The following is a 23,758-nucleotide window of genomic DNA, read 5'->3' as shown; positions in this document are numbered from 1 at the left end:
CATCAGCCTGGACAGGAGCTAGAAACAGGTGGGGGAAGGTGGAGACATCACCAGGGCCTGAGCAAGATGGGCTGTGAGAAAGAGGCCTTAGCAAGAACAGCTAAAAGCCTAGCAGAAAAATGGGCCCACTGCCCAAGGTGAGTCCTTGGAAAGATGCCAACACATTCAACTGTGGGTCGGGAGGATAGGGACTGTCGTATTCATCACCTGTCCTTAGAAACTGAGCTTATCTGGGTGCTGGGAGCATGGTAGACCTCCACAATGCATGCTGAATCAAAGCGCAGGATCATAAGCCTGCTCTACCCAAGGGGCCCATCCAGGCCTAGCTCTAGAACCAGGTTGTCCTCTGGGGTCATGGAAAAGGAAAGTCAGTCAGAGGGTCCAGCATGTTGTGAGAACTAATGAATGGCATGCAGAATTATATTCTGCATGGCAAATAAATATGCAATTCAATGGGCTGCACAGGCACTCTATGGAATGGCGGCATGGCATGCTCGCACACACTCTCCCAAACTCTGGCCAGCCAAGAAACTATCACCACATGCCCTTCAGCTAAGCCCTGGGAGGAGCTGTAGGCAGGGGCTCAGCGGGCAGGCAGACAGGCAGTGGGCAAAGCAGAGCACGCAGTTAGCTGTGATTACCTCTTGTGCTTTGGGGCAGAGAAGAGTGGAAGCAGGTGGGGTTAAAGAGACAGAGGAGGCCCCAGCCTGAGAAGACCCTGGGAAAAGGCCCAGAGCCTTAGTCCCCAGCCCCATCTCTGAGGACTCGGAGATGAGCAGCTCGGCCTACAGAGAGGGGACATGGTGAGGGGCTGCATCCCTCACACTTGGCCCAGTTCCCCACCGCAGGCCTAAATTGTTTGTGTAGTGAGGCAGGGAGGGAGGGAGGGAGGGAACGAAGTTGGTAAACCAGATATGTTCTATTTGGAATTCACACACCAGACATACAGACTTGGGGAAGAACCACTTAAGGGGCCTCAATATCCTCTTCTGAGACAAATGCCTAACTCAGGACTGAAGCCCAAGAGCCCCAGGATCAGCACCCCTATATCCCTATGCTCCCCTTCAAGGTGAGTCCATCCAGCCCGGCCCCTACCAAGCCTCTGAGCTGTCTACCCACCCAACCCAGGCCCCTGAGTCCCCCCACATATATTCAGCCACCAAAAACAGTGAAATCTGTAGGCTCCTGGGAACCCCAGAGGCAACTAAACAGAGGCAGCTGGCAGCCATGGAAAATCAAATCCCAGAGCTTGGGGCCATTCCTCCTCAAATCTCTCCCATTCAGGAAGATGCCCCCACACAACCTCAGCTACTGGGGTGAAAGTGCCATGTGTTACTCAGAGCCTCCCAGGACACGCCTTGGGCCTGAAGCTGGGGCTAATCCAATCATGATACCTCTTTGAGGGTCGATGTGGTCTTCGGGAAAGGCCTGCCCCCTGTGAGTGAGTGGTATCTCCTTTCCAGCACAGTCAGCTTCTCCTTCTCCTGCGAGCCCAGAATGGCAGAGTCAAAGAGGAGTGGGAGCCAGGAGACTGTGTGAGGGGGGCCCTGTGCTCCACCCCAGCACATTTACACCCCAGTCCTTCTGCACTCCCCTCCCACTTACCCTACTCCAAATCTCCCGGCCCAACCTCAGGGACCCTACCTTTTGCAGCAGCTGTAAGGAGGCATTCTTGTCCCGGGCCAGGCGTTCTGATTCCTGCACGGCCTGAGCCCGGATCTGCCCAGCCTGACTGTCCAGGATGGCCAGGCGCTCCTAAAGGAGATGGGGTGGTTGATCAGGCCCTGGGGAGACAGGGCTGAGCCCAAGGTGAGAACTAGCTGGCTCTCCTGCCCAGACACTCAAGGCTCAGGTGAAGGGGATCAACCAGCTCTTCTGCTTGGCCTCAACTCACCCTAAGAAAACAGGCTGCCATGTGGGCTCCTTCCCTCGGGCCTCCCTCCCTCCCTTGACCAATGACCCCTGTGCCATTAGGCACACCACTCAGATCCTCAAATCTCCCTTCCCTTACCCTACAACCAATGGGTCCCAAAGCCTAGAGACACTCCATCTGCCTCATTCTCCCTGTCCCAACCCCACTTGCCACCACCCAAATCCAGGCCCTCTGCTTCCCTGGTCTGGACCTTCTCACCAGCCTTTGCTTCCACTCTCTCAACTTCCTGATCCACTCCACACTGTCACAAATATCTTCCTAAGATGACTTTGAGGTTTGTTTGCTTATCTGAATTTTCTAATCTTTCTAAAAAGAAAAATTACTTTCTAAAAAGGAATATTACTTGAATAATTTTTTAAAAATCCACAAGTAAGGTCAGATCATGCCTCTCCTCAAAATCTTTCAGTGGCTCCTCATTACACACAGGATAAAGCACAAACTCCTTACCAGGCATTCGGGGCTCCCGAACCCTTTGCAGCTCCCCTCCCTCTTACAGCCTCCATGTCCTTTCAGCTCAGCCACACTGTACACTCAGCTGTGTAGCTGTAAACTCTCAGGCCTTTCTTATGTCGCTTCCTTAGGCCAGGAGAGCTGTTCCAATCTTCTCTACCTATCAAGAGCTTACTTATCATCTAAGACTAGACCAAATGCTATCTCCTCTCCAAAGCCTTCCTTGATTGCCGATTTCTTTGCTCCTTCCTCTGTGCTCACATTCTTCTGTATCACCATCTGCCTTTATTATTGTTATTTGTGAATATATCTGTTACCACCACCACCAGCCTGCCCCAAACGTAAGATCCACATTGTCTTTTCTGTCTTTATACCCCCAATAGGGCTTTTAGAACAGTACCTGGCTCAACAATCATGTGCTAAAAGGAAATGAAAAGATAGTAAGTAAGGGGGAAGGATGAGAGATGGGAAAAATGGGCTGGGTTAATCCCAGGAGGGCTTCCTGAAGAAGGCGGCCTTAAACCACCATCTTTAGGAACAAATCATGGGAAAGGAAGAGTTAAAGAAGGGAGATGTCCTAAATTTGGGGTCAGTCCAAGAAAAGACCAAAGTAGGCTGGCCGGGCGCTGTGGCTCATGCCTGTAATCTTAGCACTTTGGGAGGCTGAGGAGGCTGGATCACCTGAGGTTAGGAGTTTGAGACCAGCCTGGCCAACAGAGTGAAATCCCACCTCTTCCAAAAATACAAAAATTAGCCAGGTGTGGGGTTGGGGGGGCACCTGTAATCCCAGCTACTTGAGAGGCTGAGGCAGGAGAATCGCTTGAACCTGGGAGGTGGAGGTTGCAGTGAGGTGAGATCACACCATTGCAACCCAGCCTGGGCGACAACAGCGAGACTCTGTCTCAAAATCAACAACAACAACAAAGTAGGCTAGGCAGTAATCCTCACCGCAAGAGCTGCCATCTACTAAGAACCCATTAGGAGCCAGGAACTCTGCTAAATGTTTTGCATTTGTTACGTAATTTAATAAGCTCCTTTATGAGGCAGGTGCATTTATACCCATTTTATAGGTGAGAACACCAACATATTTAGGAGCTAAGATCTCTTAGCCAGCTAAGTGGTAGAGCACGGATTAGAATCATCTATTGGACTCCCAGACCAGTACTCTGAGTCACTCTGAATCAGAGTGGAAAGGGCAGGGGAGCACAGGGCACCAGGGCAGACAGAGCCTAGGGTGGGACACTAGGGTCTGAGGATGAAAGCTGGATAAGGTTCCTAAGGAGGAGCATGGGGAAGAATGTGACACCCCAGGTCCTAGGGGCTGAGCTCCGGTTTCCCAGGAGGCAGGGTGGGTGTGGGAAGAGGAATCCACTACTGCCAAGCCCTCCCAAACTCCCTGGAGCTTATACTCACCAGAACCCCAAAGGGATGAGATTAGCTGATCTACAGCTCCCTACCGCATTCCCTCCAGAAAGAAAGAGGAAGAGGCTAGAGAAGTGCCCGCCCCTAGCCTCAGTGCAGTACAGTCGAAGGAACGTGGGATTTGGGCCAACAGGCCTGGGTTCCAATTCTGACTCTGAAGCTTATATAATGGGAGGCTTTGGGCAAAATGTGTAGCTTCTCCTACTCCTAGTTTCCTTGTCTATAAAATGGGAATAACAGCACTTGTCTTGTGATACCGTCCTAAGGACAGCATTGAGGTAATCCAAGGAAGGCTCCCAGCAAGGTGCCTGACACACACCCATGTGCTTAGGTGTGTCAATTTTCTTCCCTCCTTTCATCAGTCAGTCTTACATCCAGAAAGTGCGTTTGTAAGACAGCAGCTCAGGGAGAGAAGCATGGGATCTGGACTCAAGGAAAGTCCAGCAGCTCCCCACTTACCACCAACCCCAGGCTAACCAGCAAATCCCCTACGTCACCAATTTTAGACACCCCTCCCCAATCTCACCACCCTCACTTCCCCCACACTAACTCCAGCCAAGCAAAATGTACATGCATGTGTGCATGTGCATGGCCACAAGCTTCAGCCATAAGGGTGGAAGCTGCTTGAGCCATCCTCTCCAATCCCTCCCTCACCTCTTCCCAACCCTTACTAACACATACCTCCTCCCAGCTTTACTCCCCAAACATACACAGTCACCTGTGCCACCATCCTGTGGTCTGGCTGAGATCAAGAGCAGGTGATCACAGTATCTAGCTAGCGTGTCACAGCTGGCCAGGCCACAATACCCAATAACCCTTGTTTTATAGCTCAGCCAAGGCAGGGCTGAGCCATGGCTGGAACCGAAATGAATGCCCTTTCTAGGGCCCCTAGCTGGCTCTAATATCCAGATCTCAAATCTTTCTGTGTGTCCCAGCACTTCCACCAGACAAGAGCTCTGCAAGCACAGGGGCAAGCCTCCTCCTCCTCCATCTTTCACCTTCCTGCTGGGCCAGTGCCAAGCTCTGAATGGGAGCAGAATCCACTTTCCACTGGAAGACTGAGGGGAGTCAGAGCTTAATAATAGTTATTCTTCACCGAGTGCTCATTACAATCACATCCTATTCTGTCTTTACATCTTGTTTAATTCTCACAACAACCTGTTGTAATTCTCATTTTACAGACAAGGAAATCCAGGCACAAAAGACGAAGTTAACTTTTGTGAGGTCATTGGGATTCAAACCCAGGTCACTGGCCTCCAACAGCACGCAGCAGGGAACGAGGTGGGGCACACCTTCCTCTTGGCGATGCTGCGGAGCAGCTCAGCCTTGCTCCGGAGCAGCCCCTGGCCGGCCAGCTCGCGCTCCTCCTCCACGCGGCTCTCCCGCTCCAACTGCTGGAACTCCAAGTCCTCAAAGAGCTTTGTCTCAGTCTCCAGGGCCTCTGCCTCCTTCAACGACAGTGACAAAGGGGGTTGGGTGGTGCTTGCAATGCCACTCTGGGCCTGGAAGACCAGGCCACAGGGGCATGCGTTGTATGGGGCTGGACCCGGGGAAATTGGGTAAGAAACCTGCCTCCCCCCAGCTCCCGCTGTACTTGGCCTTGCCCTTTTGCGGGCATCATGGCCTGGAGCGCTGATTCCCCAACCTTCCCGGTTCCCTCCAAACCGCAGCACCGACCCTGGTGTCCGGCAGGTACTGCAGAGGCCAGGTGGTCCCGTCCCACCGCTCTCCTCTCTTCCTTCTGGGGCGTGGCCCGCGGGGCCGGGGGAGGGGGGGCGGTGGAACTGACCCTTCTCAGCTGCTCCTGTAACTGTTCCCGCACTGACTCGGGGCAGTTATCGAGCTGCGTCTGGAGCTCGGCGTAGAGCGCCTGGCGGGCCTCCAGGTGCCTCCGTCCCGCGGCCAGCTCCGCCCTCTCCTGGTCGGCGGGAGGGCGAGGGAGAGGGCGGGGCACAGGGGAGAAACAGAACACACACTCCTCAACTCCGGCCCGGCAGCGGCGGGAGGGGAGCGCGGGAGGGCGGCCAGGGCGGGACAGAATGGGGGTCGGCAATGGGGGTTGAGAGAGGAGAAAAAAAGGCTAGAATCAAAGAGGAGAATAACCAGGCGAGGAGAAAGAAAAGGGCAGAAAGGGAAAGTGAGGAGGGAAAGAGGTGAAGAGGGAGAGGGCCCAAGGCCAGGAGCTGAAGGTAACACGGCAGTCAGAGGTGCAGGGGATGAGGTAACACAGGCAGAGGTGTGGGGGCAGGGCACAGATTTTGGTCTCCTGAAGTCCCTTGAACTGAAATTGTTGGGTAGGTCTCGAGAAAAGGCCCTCTGTTTTCTCTCCAAACCAGTCAAGGCTGGTTCTGCATCACAGAGCCTCCAGCTCTCATCCCTCCCCTTCTACTACAGCCCAGAGACCAAAATTTAACCCAGGGAAAAAGGGTAGTGATGGTGAGGGTTAAATCCAGGGTTGGGCGTCAATCAGGAGCTGAGGATGTTAAAGCAGTGTGGCAGAGGGGACCCCAACCCAACACCCTTGGCCTCCCTCCCCTCCTGCCCAGGGTCGGGGTGGGGTGTTGGCCCTGCAGGCTGAACTTCAGGGATGAGGGTTGCAATTAGTTCGGGCTGTTTCCATGGTAATGAGTCCCAGGAGTGGGTACAGAGGGGGTGGACGGTTCTTTCTGGGGTGAGATGACACCTCTGAGGGTGGGAAGGGGGACGAGGGGAGGGTTTGGTGAGTCACCCCTCAAAGGACAGGCAGAGGAGAAACTGTGGTTACTGATTCCAAAGCCAGAGTGGAGCCATGGGCTGAGGGCAGGGGAGGGAAGCCAAGTGAACCCTCCACACCATTGCCATCACTACCACCATCACCACCACCACCATCACTACCACAGCCTCGAATAACCTCTCTTCCCCACAGAGAAAGCGAAGTCTAGGCCTCCAAAAAACTCCAGGTCAGTGGGAAATGAGGTTAGGCAGGTTCCTTCTGAAATGCTGAGCTTTATCCCTGGGAGTGAGGCCCTATGCTGAACCCAGTCACTCCCATCCCTCTACCCAACTCATCTACCCATCCCCAGAGAGGAGGACCTAATCAGGCCAGTTCCTGGGGTCTAGGTGCTTCCTCATCCTTGGACTCAGCCTTTAAAATACCCTGTGTTATAGGTGGCTCAGGAGTGAGGAGAAGAGTAGGGGCTACCCATTACCAACCTCTGATGGGTATCTGAATTTGGGAAGCCCCAAGGGAAAGCTAGGAAGGGTAGCCACTATGTTGGCAGAGAGGTCCTGTTCAAGCCCTCCAAGACCACGCCCACAACTGGGCCTCCTTACTCCTTGGCTCCAGAGGGCAGGCAGGGGAATAGGTGGAAGACAGCCTACTCTGCTGTGCAGGAAGCTGCCAGGAAGCTTCCTTGGGTTATCTCATGCTGTCCTCAGACAGTAGCCTAAGACAGCAGCCTAGGCATTTCCAATGGAAAGAACTCTTCAGTCTGAGCAGCTCCACAGCCAAGCATTTCCCCCACCCTCATACCCCTCCTGCCAATGCCCCCTTGAGTAAAGTTGAGCTACCAATCCTCCTGCCAATTCCTTTCATATAAAAACTCTGGGGTCCCACACCAAGAAAAGAAGGAGGCAGCATTAGAGGAGAGAGGCCAGGGGCACAGAGGCACCCACTGAGTTAGTGCAAAAGCGGGCATGGCTCAGCCCTACCTGGGTGGCACTGGCAGTTAGGGGCATGCGGAAAGCCCAAGTCAGTGATTAGAAGGGACGTTAGTGTAGGCCTAGTTGGCAAGCGTGGAGTTAATTTGGCACAGAATTTGGGAGTGTGGTTTTGGGGGCCAGAGCCAAAGCTCCAAAAAAAAAAAAAAAGGGTCAAAGAATTTTTAAGATTCTCAAAATTGAGGGCAGGAGGAAGAAACTCAAAAAATCCAGAAGGAAAATTAAATTATTGGAAAAATACTGTCAGATCCAGAAATAGATGACCCCTCTCCACTTCAGAGCTTTTGGCACGGTGTTGGGCATCTGGGAGTGGCCCCTGCAGGCTGGCACGAAATCTGAAAGGGGCAGGGGCAGGAGCTAGGATCACCTGGGATGGGAGGCTGCAGATCCTGAAGGCTCAAGGGAAGCAGAGGCCCGAGGGCCATCTCCCAAAGATCACAACGTAAGCACTTGTGGCATGCTTGGAGGGAGATGTTCTCCAGATGGTGGGACCCGAACTTGAATCACTCCCCAATGTCAGTCCCTTGGGCTGTGCTCACTGCCCAAGAAGGGGCTTTGGCACTTCCTAGAAGGGCCATAAAGGGCCTAGGATGGCAGGCACCCAGAGGTAGCACACAGACCCAGACAGAGGAGACCCCAGACACCAGCCCAGCCCCTGGCAGTGCCCTCCAAGCTGGTTCCTTCCACAGAGGAGGAGAAGTCACTCTGTCTCTGGAAAGCCACAGAGACCACTTGTACTGCAGAATGGATGATGAGGTGAAGGGTACAGGGCCCCAGAGAAGACATTTCTCCTTCTCTCCCAGGCCACTGGTACCCAGCACTAAGCTGGGCCAGGTGTGGGTTACCTTGTCCCTCTCCTTCTGGATGCCTGTCTCCAAGGCCACCAGCTTCTCCTGCAGCTGATCCACTGCCTTCTGCTCCTTCTGCAGCAGTGCCCGCTCTGCCTCCCTCTCTCCCTGCAGCAGTGCCCGCTCCATTTCGGCCTGGGGGCAGACACCAGGGTCCCCATCAAAGCAGCTGACTGTGGCCCCTCTCTGGGGCCTTCAGTTGGCCTAGGGAAGAGTCCAGCTAGGGACTTCACGGCTCACCTCTCGGGCTGACTCCTGCAGCTGCTGCTCTAGCTCCTTCACACGGACCTTGAGCTGCTCCACGTGCCCCAGCACCTGAGCCCGCTCTTCTTCCAGGGCTAGCACCTCTCCCTGGAGCTTGGTGCTAGGTGCATCTTCGTGCTGGAGGGGAGGGAAGCTATCAACTGAGGAAGCCTAGAGCCTTTTGGAATCAGACTAAGAAAATGGATCACCTGTTCCTCCAGGCACTTGCTGAGGAATAGCTGGACTGAGACAGGAGGCTAATTCCCTGCCCCCCCGCAACCCCCACCTTTGAGGGGAGCAATAAGGGCTCTGCGGAAGAGAATATTTACCACTGAGTGCCAGGCCTGGGTGGGGCCCCATGGAAAGGCAGGTCATAAAGCATATTTACAGCTTGGGAAGCTCATCAACACCTCCCTTCTCTTCCTTGTCTCATTTCTGCACCTCTGCTCTCTAATCTCTTCCCAAACTTGATCCTTCCCCTCACTGGACCTTGGCATTGGATACACCAGCCTCCTCTGCCCCCAGCAGGTCCAACTTCAGCCTCTTTGTCTTGCCTACCCCTCCATCTCACCTCCTGCTGGGTGCTCTCAGTGCTGCTGCACTCCTCCTTGAGATTTTCCTCATCTGAGCGCTCCATACTCTCCCATAGGCGTTGGGTGGCAACGCCAGGCTCCTCGCTGCTCCGCCCAGAGGCCCCTGCAAGGCCTCGTGAGGGCCTCCGGCCTGCCAGTGCCAATGCTGCGGTGGCCTCCCCAATGCTGGGAAGCTCCCCAGCCTCAGGTCCCCCATCAGCCCGGCTGTATTCGGCACACAGGTTCAGGATGGTCTCCAGGCGCTGGCGTTCCTGGGGAGGATGGACAGAGCAGGACATGAAGGGGAGGAAGCTGAGCCCTGGTGGGGATAGAGCCAGGTTCAGTATCCTGTCAGGAGGGAGAGCAGGGTTACAGGGGGCTAGGACATCAGTGTCAAGTCAGGAGAGGCCTGACCCCAAGACCTAGGGGAGGCAGAGGGAAACAAGGTGCCCCAGAAGTGGGCAGGAAGAACGAGGCTGTTGTGCCACATGCCCACATGGCATAACAGCCTGGTTCTTCCTGCCCACTTCTGGGACAGCCCCTTCCATCTTCCTGTTCCTTTCTTTTTTCAGTCTACCCCAGGACACACAGGAACACACCAAATGGACCCACAGTAACACACTAAACACATACAGAAACACACTGTTAAGCAGACTACAGACCACAATGAGACACAGATAAACTCAGTTGCTCGTCCTGACGCAGGTACACACAGATCTACAGACACAAGGACACATACTGACACACCAGCACTGATGCACAGGCACACAAGGATACAACATGTGCCCTGGCCCTGCATTAATAGGCAAGTACAGAGACACCAGCCCTGACATGCACAAATGCACACTGATGCACACTCACAGATAAACACAGTCTAGCATACAGACAGGTGGGCATGTATGCAGACAGACAGTGCTGGAAAACAGACCCATGAGCCCACAGGGACCAGACACCCAACCACAGACATACATGGAGAAGAGGTAGACCAAGGACACGGCCCTCTTTGTCCCCACCTCAGCTCCAAGTTACCCTCAGGCAGCCCTTGGCTGTTTATCAGCAGGATGGGCTGCTGCCAGTCCTTGAATGCCCAGGCCCATGAGTGAGTACTCCCATGGCCCTACCACTTCATCCACCCCTCTCCACATACACACCCACCCAGATACAGTCACCTCTCAGGGGCCTAGGAGGTAAAGGAGGGATGACACAATCACATTCCTGGTCTTTGTTGCCTTTTCCCGCAGGCCTACCTATAGGCCTGAAGCCTGGTTTGTGAGGCTTCCATGGCTCTCTAGGGTCCCTAGACCTCCTCAAGTGTCTCTCATCACTTACAGTTTGGCCATGAACCCAAACCGCAGGAAGTGGAGAGAAGGCTGGAGAGGTGTTCTCATACACTTACCCAGCTTCCCTCCTGTTGCTTGCCCAGTTCCATGGCAAAAAAAAAAAAAAAAAACCGGAACAGAGCCTCGGCACCTGGGAGGCTGGGCCAGTGCCTCCACCCCTGCCCCAGGACCCAGATAAGCAGCCTGGTTGAGGTGGGAGGGGCAGGGCGGGCAGCCTCCAAGACTTAAAGTGGCAGGTGAGGCAGGTCAGGACTAGTGGTAAGATGTGTGCTTATGTGTGGGAATGGGGGTGGGAAAACTGATGGAGGAGTTGGGGGAGGCTGTGCCTGCCACTCTGCCTGTGCCAGGCTCACTGCCCCCTCTCCAGGATGAGACCCCAGCTTAGAATGGCCATGCATTCCCGTCTAGACCAATGCAAAAACAGTGAAGAGAAGATGCAGCAAAGGAAAAGATGGGATCCGCCTCATCTCACCCCCATCCAACACAAACACACAATCCTATACCCTCATCCAAAACTGTCCCAACCTCTTCCAAAAGCATCTCCAGATGCTTCAGTTCTGGTTCTCATCAGTTCTGGTTCTCTTCCTCAAACCAATCCCAGGGTTCCTGCCCACCTTCCAAAGAACCCTGTTCTGCTCGTAAGGGACAGAGGGCAGAATCCATTCTTCTGTACATGGGCTCGACTGTGTACACACCAGCCAGAGCCCCTTAAGCTCCCTGAGCTATCTGGGGAATCCTGGCCCCCACCCAGCTCAGATGCCATCTCCAGGACAGCTGCCTAGAGCCACACCCAGCCCCTGCATGCACCCACGTGCATGCACATGGACACACACAGTCACAATTACACAGGCTGGCTAACGGTCAGGCCAGGGTTGCCTATCCTGCTCTGTCCCTCTACCCTGCCACCTGCACTCCTAGATGATACTGCCTGGGCCAGGATGAGCAGCTCCCACCCACTTGTAGAGGCCAAAGACAAGCAAAAAAGAAGGACAAGGTACTTTTCTAAAGAACAAGTCTCAGAAAGAGTCAGACAGGGGACCTGGGTTCCAATTCTAGCTCTGCCAGAACTTGCTGTGTGACCTTGGACAAAGCCATTCCCCTCTCTGAGCTTCAGCCTACTCATGATCACCAACTGCTTCTCAAACTGGGAGGTTCGAGGTCTTACCATACCTGTGGTATGTTTTCCTAGAGCTTCACTGTGCTCAGGTAAACAATGTGAAATTTAATTTAACATTAAAACAAATGCTATGTTGAATAAATGCAAAATTAGCAAGAATTTAAAATAAAGTCTTAGAGATTTCAAAGGAATTTCTTCTTCACGGCACCAGAACCATAAGATATTGATCACTAAAGTGTATCCTGGAGGTGGGGAACCTTGAGAAGCCGAAGCCCTGTTTGAGGGCCTCTCCTGCTCTGCCAGCTGGCCTGCTCGAGCCCTGGCAGAGACTCTGCCATGGACAGTGGCAAGCCTCCCTGGCACCCGCTCACCAGCCTCTCCATCTCCTGCTCCCGGAGCCGCTCTTGGCGCTGTCGCCGGTGGTACTCCAGGAGGTCGTCCTCATTGTCACTGATCTCTGTGATGCTATTTTTCCGCTCCCTTGTGACAGGCACCCGCAAGTCCCCGCTGGAGAGCTTCCTCTGGACACAGGGACTCTGGCAGGGTGAAGCCCCAGTAAGAGAGCCCAGACTGTAGGCTGGGCTCAGCCTGCCACTGAAGCTGCCCTTGTGGGGTGCCAGAGACTCACCCAGTGTGGGTGAGGGGCTCCGTGTCCTACGGCCCCGTGCCCCCAGCGTCAGGGAGAAGTCCTCTGGTGAAGCCCCATGGGCTGCCCAGCGCCGGGGCCGAGGACTCTCTGCCACTTCCCTGTTTAGCTTGGGATCTGGGGTGGTCCGGGTGGGCAGCGGGGAGAGAGCTCGCCGGGACAGAGATGGACTTAAGGGGGGTAGTTCTCGCATACTGTCCAGGCCCCGCCGGCCCAGGCGGGGACTCTCAGGAGGCTGCAGGGTACGGGTGGCTAACCCATCTGAAAATGTTCGGCCCACCAGTTGGCGTGAGGGGCTGGTTGTTAGCACCCGCTCACTGCCTGGAGGCTCACGGAAAGGGCTGGGAGGGCGGTCCTGGAGTGTGCCAATCTTGTTTCGGGGAGCAGGGACTGGAGGCTGAAACTTGGGGCTGCCAGGAATGCTGGTGGGTTGACTGAGAGCACCAGAAGCTGGGTATTCACTCAGGCTGATGGCCACCACAGGCAGCTGCCCACCCAGCCGGGGGCTCTCAGTGGCTCTCCGGGCCTCCGCCAAGACAGTAGCTGCAGGGCTGTCTGTCAGCAGACCCCGGAGGCCAGGGCTGGGAGGCCTCTCATGGCCCCCTTTCCTGCTCAGCCGAGGACTCTCGGAGCGAGCACCACTTGGGCGGGACTGTGGGGGCTGTAGGGCCAGATGGTAGCTGGAGGAACGGGCAGGTACCAGCGGGGGCACAGAAGGTCCTGGCTCTTGCCCACTGGGTGAGTGACTGGCACAGCTTCCACTGCTGGCTGGTGAAGAGAGTGGAGAGAAGGCTGGAGAGGTGTTCTCATAGCTGGAGCCCACAGACATGGCGCCGGGGCTGGTTGGGGGAGACAGCAGGTAGCGCCCACCATTAGCCATCGGTGACAGTGGAGAGGTTGCGGCAGGCTTCTTGCCAGCAGCTCCAGGCTCCTCTAGCACCAGTGAGTCCATGATCTCTTGCAGGTCCTTCTCAATAGAGCTCACCAGGGAACTGTGGCTGGCACAGGCAGAGGGTCCCCGTGTTGCAGTCTGTGGGGTGTGGTTCCCATTTACCAGACTTTCTGATTCTGCTGGAGGGAAATGCAAAGGTCTTTGACTTTAGGGAGCTGCATATGCATAAAAGCCAGAGCACTAGCCCCCCTCCTCCTAGCACAGTGAGGCTAACAAGGCTCTGGAGAAGAAGCCAGGAGATGTGGTTCTGGTACCAGCTAGCTCTGCCACTGACCTGCTATGCAACCTTAGCCAAGTCACTTGTCCTCAGTTTCTCCTTCTGTAAAGGAAGGGAATCGGCAGGGCCTTCCTGCCTGTGACTTAAAACAGTTAACAATGATAGGCACTTCTAAGACTATTGTTGTCAATTCACCCCAAGACTAGACTCCTCCAATCTATATCCTATATCCCTCCTCAAGAAGGGCACGTAGGCCAGGCACGGTGGCTCACGCCTGTAATCCCAACACTTGGGGAGGCCAAGGCGGGCAGATCACTTGAGGACAGGAGTTCAAGACCAGCCTGGCCAACATGGTGAAACCCCACCTCTAATAAAAATACAAAAAATTAGCTGGGTATGGTGGCACATGTCTGTAATCCCAACTACTCAGGAGGCTGAGGTATGAGAATCGCTTGAACCCAGGAAGTTGCAGTGAGCTGAGAACTGCCTGGGTGACACAGCAAGACTGTCTCAAAAAAAAAAGAGGCCAGGCGTGGTGGCTCACGCCTGTAATCCCAGCACTTTGTGAAGCCGAAATGGATGTATCACCTGAGGTCAGGAGTTCGAGACCAGCCTGGCCAACATGGTGAAACCCCATCTCTACTAAAAATAAAAAATTAGCCGGGTGTGGTGGCATGCACCTGTAGTCCCAGCTACTCGGGAGGCTGAGGCAGGAAAATCACTTGAACCCAGGAGGCGGAGGTTGCAGTGAGCCGAGATCGCGCCACTGCACTGCAGCCTGGGCGACAGAGTGAGACTCCATCTCAAAACAAAAAAAAAGAAAAAAGAAAACAGAAGGCATTATACAAAGAAGATGGGCGCCTGCTGCAGAGCTGGCCAGAAGTTCCAGGGGCTCCTAGTCTAATAGGATGTCAGGGCCTCCCAATGTAGGAACCAGAGGCCCAGGGGTAAAAAAAAAAAAAGAAAAAGAAAAAAGCCTGCAGGGCTGGGTGAGGGGTGTGTGCTGCACCACTTCGTCCAATCAGAGGCAGGGGAGGGAGCTAGTGCTAATGGCTGGTTCCTGGAAGCCAGGCTGCCAGCAAGGAGGTGAAGCTCAGTGCCTCCAATTATCCCATTAAGCCATGCCAGCAAGAGCCTGCTTTTGCCATGCCCCAGCACTAGTCAACCATATAGGAGTCCCTGGAACCACTGCCCCAAACAGCTAAGGGAGTGACATGACAAGGCTGGGGTGGGGGCAGGGTAAAATTAACTAGGGAGTAGACTGGGAACCCAGGCTTCTGAGCCCCCAGAGGACTGGAAAAGATCGAGGGTAGGGAAAAGAGAAGGGAAAGCCTTTGCAAGACTGAGTTTGGGTCCAAAATTATGGAGACTGTGTGGGATATAGTCAGAGGGGATGCCATGGATACTGATAATCCCAGTGATCACTCACCTTTCTTCAGGTCCCCAGGCTATCCACTTAGGCTGCTGATACCACCCCACTAGGTGTACCTGACATCCATGTCCATCTGTCCCAGCACCTGTCACCCCATAGCCATCTAAATGCCAGTGCAAAGTCTGAGATGGTAAACCCATAATAGCCTCCTGGTCTGCACCCCTCCTGCCCCCCTGTGCAGCTGGGCTGAGGGGGCCTGTGTTGGTTCCCCAGAACAATCACCAATTCTCTTCTGGGGATCAATAATTCACACACAAAATACAGCTGCTCCACTGAGTCATCAGCGGGCAGGGCATGGAGTGAGGGTTGGGCGAGGCCCAAGGACATGATCCCCACCACAGCTTACAGGGAGTTCAACCTAATGCTTCCTTCTGCCCCTCAGGGTACCCTAGAGGGTGAGGCTCCCTGTGGTGACACAAGTGGGCCAGAGTTCCAGACACTGAGTGGCATCCTCCAGGGCAGTGGGGTACAAGCTGGCAGAGCTTGCCATCCCTCGAGGCACATAATTTCCCAATTTTAGCTAAGCAGCACTGCCTTGGTTAGCTCTCAGTGGCCCCACTGCCTGGCATTCTCCACCCGCCCATGGCAGGTGGCAGTGAGCCCAGACCTTAGGTATTGTCTTGCCCTAACACTCCAAGTGTGGCTGAAGTGAGCAAGGAGGAGGACTGCTGCAGGAACACCATCAACCCAGCACCCTGCCCCCGTCGGTACCTACCAGGAACAGGGCTGTAGGGGGGCCCAGGGGCTCGGCCCCCTGCTGGAATCATGCTTTTCATCCACTTGGCTTCAGCCGGGTGGTTAAAGCGAAGGAAGGTGGACTGACCCAGGCACAACATGCAGCCTGCAGAGAAAGCAAACACTTGAAGACCAGGTGTGGTGGCTCACACCTGTAATCCCAACACTTTTGGAGGCGGAGGAGGGTGGATCACCTGAGGTCGGGAGTTGGAGACCAGCCTGGCCAATGTGGTGAAGTCCCGTCTCTACTAAAAATACAAAAATTAGCCGGGTGTGGTGGTGGACGCCTGTAATCCCATAATCCCAGCTACTCAGGAGACTGAGATCAGAGAATAGCTTGAACCCAGGAAGCGGAGGTTGCAGTGAGCTGAGATCATGCCACTGCACTCCAGCCTACATGACAAGAGCTAAACTCTGTCTCAAAAAAAAAAAAAAAAAAAAAAAAAAAAGAAAGGAAGAAAGAGAGAAAACACTTGGAAGGGCAGGCAGGACTGAAGTTACCCCACCTCACAGCACTAGCAGGCTCACCTCAGCTCTAAAGACCCATCCTCATCTGCTCTCAGAGTCCACACAGTCCACACCTGACCTTGCCTGTGCTTGAGATGGGCACCTCCAGGGCTCCGCAGCACAAGACAGAGTAGAAAAAGCACTGGTGAGTGAGTCCCAAGATCTGAGTCCTCGTCCTAATTCCTCTTCTTACTAGCTGTGAGATCTCTGGGTGAAGTAACTTCACCTCTGAATCTAGTTCTCTTAATCAGAAAAATGGGGACAATACCACTGATCTTGTAGGGTTAATAAGACAGTGTATGTGAAAGTACTCTGTAAAAATATATTCAGAGAGGCCAGGCATGGTGGCTCACACCTGTAATTCCAGCATTTTGGGAGGCCAAGGCGGGCGGATCACCTGAGGTCAGCAGTTCGAGACCAGCCTGGCCAACATGGTGAAACTCCGTCTCTACTCAAAATACAAAACTTAGCTGGGGGTGGTGGCGTGCGCCTGTAGTCCTAGCTACTTGGGAGGCTGAGGCAAGAGAATTGCTTGAATCCAGGAGGCAGAGGCTGCAGTGAGCCGAGATCACACCACTGCACTCCAGCCTGGGCAACAGAGCGAAACTCCGTCTCACACACACACACACACACACACACACACACACACACACACACAAATGTTCAGAGAACACAGACACACCTGTCCCCCAACCCCAGCCTGTATCCATGATCCATCTATCTGCCCCTTGGGTAGAAGGGTAGAAGAGTCAGTCTGAGAGGCAGCAACTTCCAGGGTCACAAAAAAAAACTGAGATAGGGAACAAGGGGAAAAACCATGGATCAGTCAGATGAACCGGGGGGGTCCTGAATTTGCTCCCACTCTTTCTTGTTTTGTGACCTTAGGAGAGCTGTGCACTGCAAGTCTAGGGAGCGACCACCACCTTTCTTTCTGACTAAGCACCCTCTGCATGCTCCCTGGTCTCCCCTGGCATCAGGCCAAGACTAGGCCACCAGGCCCGGCCTCAGCCAAGCACATTCCCAGGCAGTAGACACAAGCCCAGTCCTGCCCGGGAAGTGTGAGTACCTGGAGGGGGAGGGCATGTGGGAGCTGGAAAATGTAGCCAGGGGCACCTGGAGTGTGCACAGTGGCAGATGTGCCCACAGGCGCCTAACTGTAGCTAGCAGAACTCCACCTCCCAGCCACACCAGGTGCTGGAGGGCTACTGCAGAAGATACTATGTTGGGAGAAGCCAGAGCCCTGTTGCTCTCTACCACCAATCCTTCCAATTTGTCCACACCCCTGGCCCCCGGCCTCAGCCTCCTGTCTACCCAATCTGGTGCCACTTGGCACCCCAAGCTTCACGCCAGTCTGAGCTAAGACTGGCAGAGAAGTCTACATTCCTGGACGCTGAGACAGTTCAGCTCAGGCAGGCCGCAAGGGCAAGAGGCATCCCAGGCCACGTGAGTACCTTGGCAGGTCCCTTACTGAGAAGCTCAGGAGCCTGTTCCTGGGATCCTGGGCATTGCTTGGGTTGGGGGTTTAGTAGGCTGAGAAGCCCATGGCAGATAACCATAGTGGATAAAGCCACTCACTATCCTGGCATACACAAAGGCCCTCCCAGGCAGCCAGACACCAACAATTCTAAAGGAGAGAGAGGGAGCCTTCCCTGCCAAGTCACCAATCAGAGAAGAGGATCCCAGAGTATTCAAAACTGGAATAAATAATAGCCAACCACACTGTCCACCTAATTACAACCACAGCTGTTTCAGAAAGAGCCCTGTCAAGCCCCTCCCCCTCCATTTAGCCATTTAACAAGCCTACTGGTGATGAGTTCACAGGGTCTAGACAGAGCCACTCAACCCAGGGTCGTGGGTGGTAGGGATCAGGAGCCTGACCACACAGTCCAGGCTGGGAAGGAGGCAGGGAGTCTGAGTGGATTCCAGCCCAGCAGTCCCAGGCCCACCCAAGTAGGATGTAGGCATCTAGGGATCCTCTGCCTGGGCCCCTATAGCTGTGTGTTTTCTGCCCCCTCCTCAGCCCTTCACCCTCCCCGGCATAAGGGGGTGTGGCCATGCTGCCTCTGGGCTATAAATAGTGATGCCAGGCAGCAGAGCTGGATCCGTATTAATAGAGCGGGCAGGAGGGCAGCAGGACTGAGAGCAGCCCAGCTCCTGCCCAAATTAACTTTCTATTTGCATGCAGAAGCTTCAGGCATTGCCCTGATGCTGGCCCCTACAGCCCCCAGGGGTCTGGCCAGCCTGTTTCTGGGAAGAAGCCTCCTCTCTGCCCACTCCCACCCCAACCCGCAAAGGCCAGCCCTTTCAGGGAGCCCAGGAATCCCTGCCCATCCTGCCAAAGTCATGATCAGTGTCCCCCATGCCCAGGGGGGATCAGGGTCCAGCTGTGTGCAGGTGGGTGGAGGAGCTGCACATCTGGAGGGGAAAAACTGGGCGAAGGAGAGGGTGAATCCTATCTGTGAGAGATGCAGAGGAGAAACACCAACACAAACAGGCTCACACTCATACACACTCATAGTAACACAACAGACTTATGGGCGTACATGCTCACACACTCTCAGAGCTACTGTCACTGCCCTCCTGGTCACACAAATAGAATGGATTGTCCAAAGGGAGACCGAGTGAAGGGAATATGGGAGGAAGGGCCTTGGTCCTTCCTATCAGAGACCCTCCTTGGCCATAAGGTAGACTCCCCTCATTCTAACCAGGACTCTTTAACCCCATCTGAGGGAGGTGGGTCCTAAGGAGGGGACTGCCGGAGCGCTGGAGAAGATAAGGTCTACCGGCTGAGAAGTGCCCCCAAGCCCAGAATCCCCATTTAGAAATGTTCAGGGAACACACACAATCGAGTCTCTCAGCCTCAAGCTCCCAAAGAAGGTCAGAGGACCCCATGCACCTCCTCCCGCCCACCCTCCTCAAGACGCCCCTCCCAGTCTGAGCTTCTCCAAGCTTGGCTGCTTGGGGACTGTGGCTGGCCCGGGGCTGAGGACTCACCGCCGAAACCGGACCTCCGGACCGCTCGCCCCCGCTAGCTCGGGCCCTCCAGGTCCCGGGCCCGCCCGGAGCCTTTGAGGGGGCGGGCCGACCTCCCGAGCTGCCGGCTCTAGGCTCGGAGCGAGCAGCGAGGCAGCGAGCAGCCGCCAATGCCCGGGGAGGGGCGGGCCGGCCACCAGCGGCGGGGGAAGGGAGCCAGGGAGGGAGGGACAAAGGAGAGGAGGAGGGGAAGAGGAAGTGATGGAGGAGACGAGTGGAGAGCTGGATGGAGAGGGCGGGGCGGGAGGATGCAGAAAGGGAGCCGGCTTGGGATCCTGCATCGAGGGCAGGAAGAAAAGTGGGCGGGAAGGAAAGGTTCAAGGGAGGTGACTGAGTGAAGGAAAGGTGAGAGGTAAGTACAGAGGCCAGAGTGAAGAGCCAGGAGGCAGGAGTGAGGCCAAGCAAAGGACAGGTCTCATTCCCAGCCCCCTGTGGTAAGAGGTCAGTGGCAGCTGGGCTGGCCGGCCCTGACTGGCTGTAGTACCTTGGGCCAGTCACACCCTCTGGCCTCGGCTTCCTTATCTACAGAAAGTCAACTCTGACATTCCATGGGTCCATATCTGAGAGAGAGAGGGAGAGGAAAAGAGCAGGGGCTCTACAGGATCCAGCTAGGTCACTGGGTCCTGCTCTGGCCCTCAGGCTGCCACTGTAACAAGGTCACCCTGGGCTGGGAGTTCAGGCCAAAGCAGTGCTCTGTACAATGCAAGCACTCAGCCCACCTCCTGTCTCCACCCTAAACACCTCCTCTTCCGGCCCCACTCCCCATAGCTCAACTCATGACCCAGAGTGGACCAAGGCACTGCCCTTTCCGGCCAGCCCACTTCCTGGGCCCCTGGGAGCCAGCCCGCACCCCAGCCACAACATCCAGTTGTGCTAGACCCAGCAAAGAGCCCTCCGACCCCAATAAGGTACCCATCCTACTTGGGAAACAGATATCTGGAGCCCGCAAAGTCAGGCTGAGATTCTGAGTCAGGCAGGTGTTTTGTTTTGTTTTGTTCTGTTTTTTTGAGATGGAGTTTCATTCTTGTTGCCCAGGCTGGAGTGCAATGGTGCGATCTCGGCTCACTGCAACCTCCGCCTCCGGGGTTCAAGCGATTCTCCTGCCTCAGCCTCCCATAGCTGGGACTACAGGCATGCGCCACCACACACCCAGCAAATTTTGTATTTTTAGTAGAGATGGGGTTTCTCCATGTTGGTCAGGCTGGTCTCGAACTCCCGACCTCAGGTGATCTGCCCGCCTCGGCCTCCCAAAGTGTTGGGATTACAGGCGTGAGCCACTGCACCCGGCCCAGTCAGGTATTAATACCTACCATCCAGCCAGGTCCCCCAGAGAGTTCCTCTTGTTCCAGGGACCTGGCCCCTGCACACCAGAGCCTTACGGGACACAATGTTTTATGCTCTCAGCAGCTCACACAGCCTGACACAGTGTCTCTCAGATACACACCAACACTTGCTCAGTCACACTGACACTACTTCATCTCTGCATGCTCTGAGTCACACAGACACCCTCATTAAACACACTGTCTCTCACACACCTTTATTCTCATGCACACATCCCCCAGACAACTCCTTTTAGTTACACACTCACCCAGGCATAGCTTTCCTTTCACTTAGTCCCTGGAGAAACTCTGAAATAAAATCAACCTCTTAGATGAATAATCAGGCAAGTTTTCCATTCTTGCTAAACAGCCCACTAGCCCACTCACCCATGCTGCCAACTATATGCATACACATGCACACGCTCACATGTGCACACGTATCTTATTCCCTTCTGAGGAAAAAGGAAGAACCATATAGGGTCAAATGCAAAATGAAGGGAGGCTTTAAAAAAAATCTCCTCAGGAAGAGTGATTCATCGGTCTGGAAACTGTGAGGGCCAGCTGGATAGACCTAGGCAGACACAGAGGATGCCCGCCAATGAGAAATAGGGCAGGAGGCAGACACAAAGAAGTGGGAAGCTGGGAGCCTTGCTCTGCCCTCCTTCTTTTGAGCTTTATTAGTCAAGATCGTTATCAGTCTCATAACAGAAAAAGGTTGAAGGCTTCACTCCCAATTTACAGATGGAATAACTGGGTGGGAAAAAAAAGAGGCTGAATGTCCTAGATCCCAGAGAGAGGCAGCTGGATAACCCAGAGATCCGGCTCCCCAGCCACACTCCTCTGCTGGCCCTCACACAAGCCCCTACCCACCAGTGAGAGGCTTAGGGAATGAAGGAGACTGGAGACCAGGGCTCGGAGGAAATGCTAGGAGTGGATGGGGACCTACTGTCTAGACAGCCTGGGCCCTGAGCTGGTGGCTTTCTGGGTCCTCCCCTGCTTGGTTCCCTCCCAGATCTTTCATGTGGTCTGGCGCTGTGGTCCCAGGGTGGGGCAGCCTAGACCCAGATTGAGATTCCTCCTCATTCCCTTGGTCCTATTCCCAGCTCCACCCCTTGCTCTGTAGAGAAGAGGGCAATGTGGGATGTGCCGAGATGCCTGGGTACAGGGGGTGGAATCAGGACCTTCCTGGCTCCCTCACTTCATGCTCCTATGTTCATAGCTCTGTGCTAAAGGTTGGCATCTGTTTTCTGCCTGCCTCCCCTTTCCCCTGGCCCAGGCATATTCCTGCTGGAAGAGCCTGTCACTGCCATCTCTGCTTGTCATGAAGTGTGTCTCTCCAAGTTGCCTATGGCTGGGCACAGTGCCCAGAATGATGCATCTAAGGCCAAAGCACACTCCTTGTTATTCCCAGAGTAGCCCTTGTTTTTGAAAGAGGAGGGTCCCGTCTACAAGGCCAGATTAGGGGAACAAGGTAGGGAAAATGATCGTCTTGTATATATGCTCACAGATAGGCATATGACTAGTGGGGTCTCATATACACATAGGAGTACACACACAGACATTTTGGTACCATCAGTCCTGAGTTCACCCCTGCCGCCCACTTGAACACACTGATCGATAAACACAAGGAAAGACACAAACACAGGATTCGTAAGCCCAGAGTCACAAACACATCCGGAGCTACATAAACACACTCCGGTTACACAGACACACAGAGATAGCACATGCACCCCCGAGCCACCCAGTTTCCAGGGAAACACACTCCCAAGAATGTCCGGAGTGGGGCCAGGCAGGGCTGGGCTTGGTGCCTTGCTCCAGAGATGAGACAAGGAAACCCTCAGCTCCTGGAGCCCAGGGGAGGGGGAGGACTGGGGAGAAGAACACCCATTCCTTTGTGCCTCTGCCTACCCCTCCACAGGCTGCCAAGCTTCTGAGACAGGCGAGCCCAGACAAGAAGGCTATGGGGGTTGGGGAGGGAAAATGGGAAGGGGTTTAGGGTCAGAAGAGAGTGGGAGGGTACATACTTGGCTGGGTAGGCCTCTGGCTGGAGAAGAGTCGGGAAGGGTCACTGGGGCCACAGGAAATGCTTCAGAATTCCATCTTAGCCCTAGGCTCTCCCCTTCTCAGGGAGCTAAATGATGCATTGGAAAGACTGGACAACAGAAGCATACCCTGCTCACAACATGCAGGGGAACAATGTTCTTACCGATGAATGTGATGGGTTTGGGGCGGGGGTGGTAAGTGCTGGGCCTTCTTTGAACTTTGCCCTGCCTCTCCTTGCTGCTCTATTGTCTCATCTCCATGCTCCCAAATCTTAGAGAAGATGCTCTCTCTGAGACTGAACAGGACTGTTAGGAACCCACTGCCATCATAGCCAAGCCCCAATTTTTGGGGGTTCCTCCTCTCATCCAAAGTCAGAGACCTTGAATCCCTGGAGAAGGCAAGGGCCTACGTACTGCTGCTGGTGGACCTGCCTCCCTGAAGTCAATTGTCCATGCCCTGCCCCCTACCCGAGGGCAGGAAGAAAAGACTGGGGTCAAAAAAAAAAAATTAGCCGGGCGGTGGCAGGTGCCTGTAATCCCAGCTACTTGGGAGGCTGAGGCAGGAGAATCGCTTGAGCCTAGGAGGTGGAGGTTGTAGTGAGCCGAGATCATGCCACTGCACTCCAGCCTGGGCAACAGCGTGAGACTCCGTATCAAAAAAAAAGACGGGGGAAATGTCAGGTCTCCTGGATCAGCTGTGAAGGAAGTGACATTGAAAGGCCTTAAGGAGGATGAAGAGGAGAGAAGGAGACAGTGGAGTGAGTAGGATGGCCACTTCCAAGGGGCTTCTAGGCAGTAAGAGCCCCCAGAAAACAATGCCAGACCATCAGAGCCTGCTCAGAGCCAGGCTTAGCCCAAAGTTCCTGTCCTGCTGTTAGCCTTTAACTTCACCTCTAACCTCCACCCAAATCTGTTTTTCTCATTCTCCTAATCTGACAACTCACTGTATGAACTGATGCCCAGAACCCTGTTTCCAGGGTGAGCACACCTGGTCTGTCAAAGTGCTACCTGGGCCAACCGCTTACCTGCCTGCTAACCATAGTAATTATGGGCCTAGTTTTTATTTATTTTTATTTTTTATTTATTTATTTTTTGAGACGGAGTCTTGCTCTGTTGCCCAGGCTGGAGTGCAATGGTGCCATCTCAGCTCACTACAACCTCTGCCTCCCAGGTTCAAGCGATTCTCCTATCTCAGCTTCCCGAGTAGCTAGGACTACAGGCGTGTGCCACCACGTGTGGCTAATTTTTGTA

The 23,758-nt window shown here is 54.5% G+C and overlaps 1 protein-coding gene across 53 annotated transcripts in view, besides 5 other annotated features; it reads right to left on the bottom strand.

The window, feature by feature from the left end:
- Positions 1-23,758, bottom strand: part of PHLDB1 (pleckstrin homology like domain family B member 1) — a 51,593-nt gene that overhangs the window by 17,383 nt on the left and 10,452 nt on the right. For 16 of the 53 annotated variants that reach the window (NM_015157.4, XM_047426640.1, XM_047426637.1 and 13 more), the window contains 8 exons: positions 15,587-15,712; positions 11,996-13,341; positions 9,167-9,439; positions 8,593-8,733; positions 8,350-8,487; positions 5,098-5,253; positions 1,645-1,755; positions 1,395-1,484 (listed from right to left, as the gene is read on the bottom strand). In NM_015157.4, the coding sequence (NP_055972.1) occupies positions 1,395-1,484; positions 1,645-1,755; positions 5,098-5,253; positions 8,350-8,487; positions 8,593-8,733; positions 9,167-9,439; positions 11,996-13,341; positions 15,587-15,712 (2,381 nt within the window). The other 37 variants (XR_947813.3, XR_007062463.1, XM_011542709.3 and 34 more) reach the window with 17 other exon arrangements.
- Positions 5,106-5,776: an enhancer, noted in NCBI's record as "H3K27ac-H3K4me1 hESC enhancer chr11:118505587-118506258 (GRCh37/hg19 assembly coordinates)". NCBI's record gives its function as "activates a minimal SCP1, AML or CMV promoter by ChIP-STARR-seq in naive H9 embryonic stem cells {active_cell/tissue: H9 hESC(naive)}" and the evidence as "EXISTENCE:reporter gene assay evidence [ECO:0000049][PMID:30033119]".
- Positions 8,803-9,310: an enhancer, noted in NCBI's record as "H3K4me1 hESC enhancer chr11:118502053-118502560 (GRCh37/hg19 assembly coordinates)". NCBI's record gives its function as "activates a minimal SCP1, AML or CMV promoter by ChIP-STARR-seq in primed H9 embryonic stem cells {active_cell/tissue: H9 hESC(primed)}" and the evidence as "EXISTENCE:reporter gene assay evidence [ECO:0000049][PMID:30033119]".
- Positions 9,311-9,819: an enhancer, noted in NCBI's record as "H3K4me1 hESC enhancer chr11:118501544-118502052 (GRCh37/hg19 assembly coordinates)". NCBI's record gives its function as "activates a minimal SCP1, AML or CMV promoter by ChIP-STARR-seq in primed H9 embryonic stem cells {active_cell/tissue: H9 hESC(primed)}" and the evidence as "EXISTENCE:reporter gene assay evidence [ECO:0000049][PMID:30033119]".
- Positions 19,210-19,299: a silencer, noted in NCBI's record as "silent region_3951". NCBI's record gives its function as "represses an Ori minimal core promoter by ATAC-STARR-seq in GM12878 lymphoblastoid cells {active_cell/tissue: GM12878}" and the evidence as "EXISTENCE:reporter gene assay evidence [ECO:0000049][PMID:35858748]".
- Positions 22,093-22,608: an enhancer, noted in NCBI's record as "H3K27ac-H3K4me1 hESC enhancer chr11:118488753-118489268 (GRCh37/hg19 assembly coordinates)". NCBI's record gives its function as "activates a minimal SCP1, AML or CMV promoter by ChIP-STARR-seq in naive H9 embryonic stem cells {active_cell/tissue: H9 hESC(naive)}" and the evidence as "EXISTENCE:reporter gene assay evidence [ECO:0000049][PMID:30033119]".

The sequence above is a fragment of the Homo sapiens genome, chromosome 11, assembly GCF_000001405.40.
Source record: "Homo sapiens chromosome 11, GRCh38.p14 Primary Assembly".
In the NCBI taxonomy this organism is placed as follows: Eukaryota; Metazoa; Chordata; class Mammalia; order Primates; family Hominidae; genus Homo; species Homo sapiens.
Note: the sequence above shows the minus strand (reverse complement) of the source record. Positions and strands in the feature narration are given on the sequence as shown.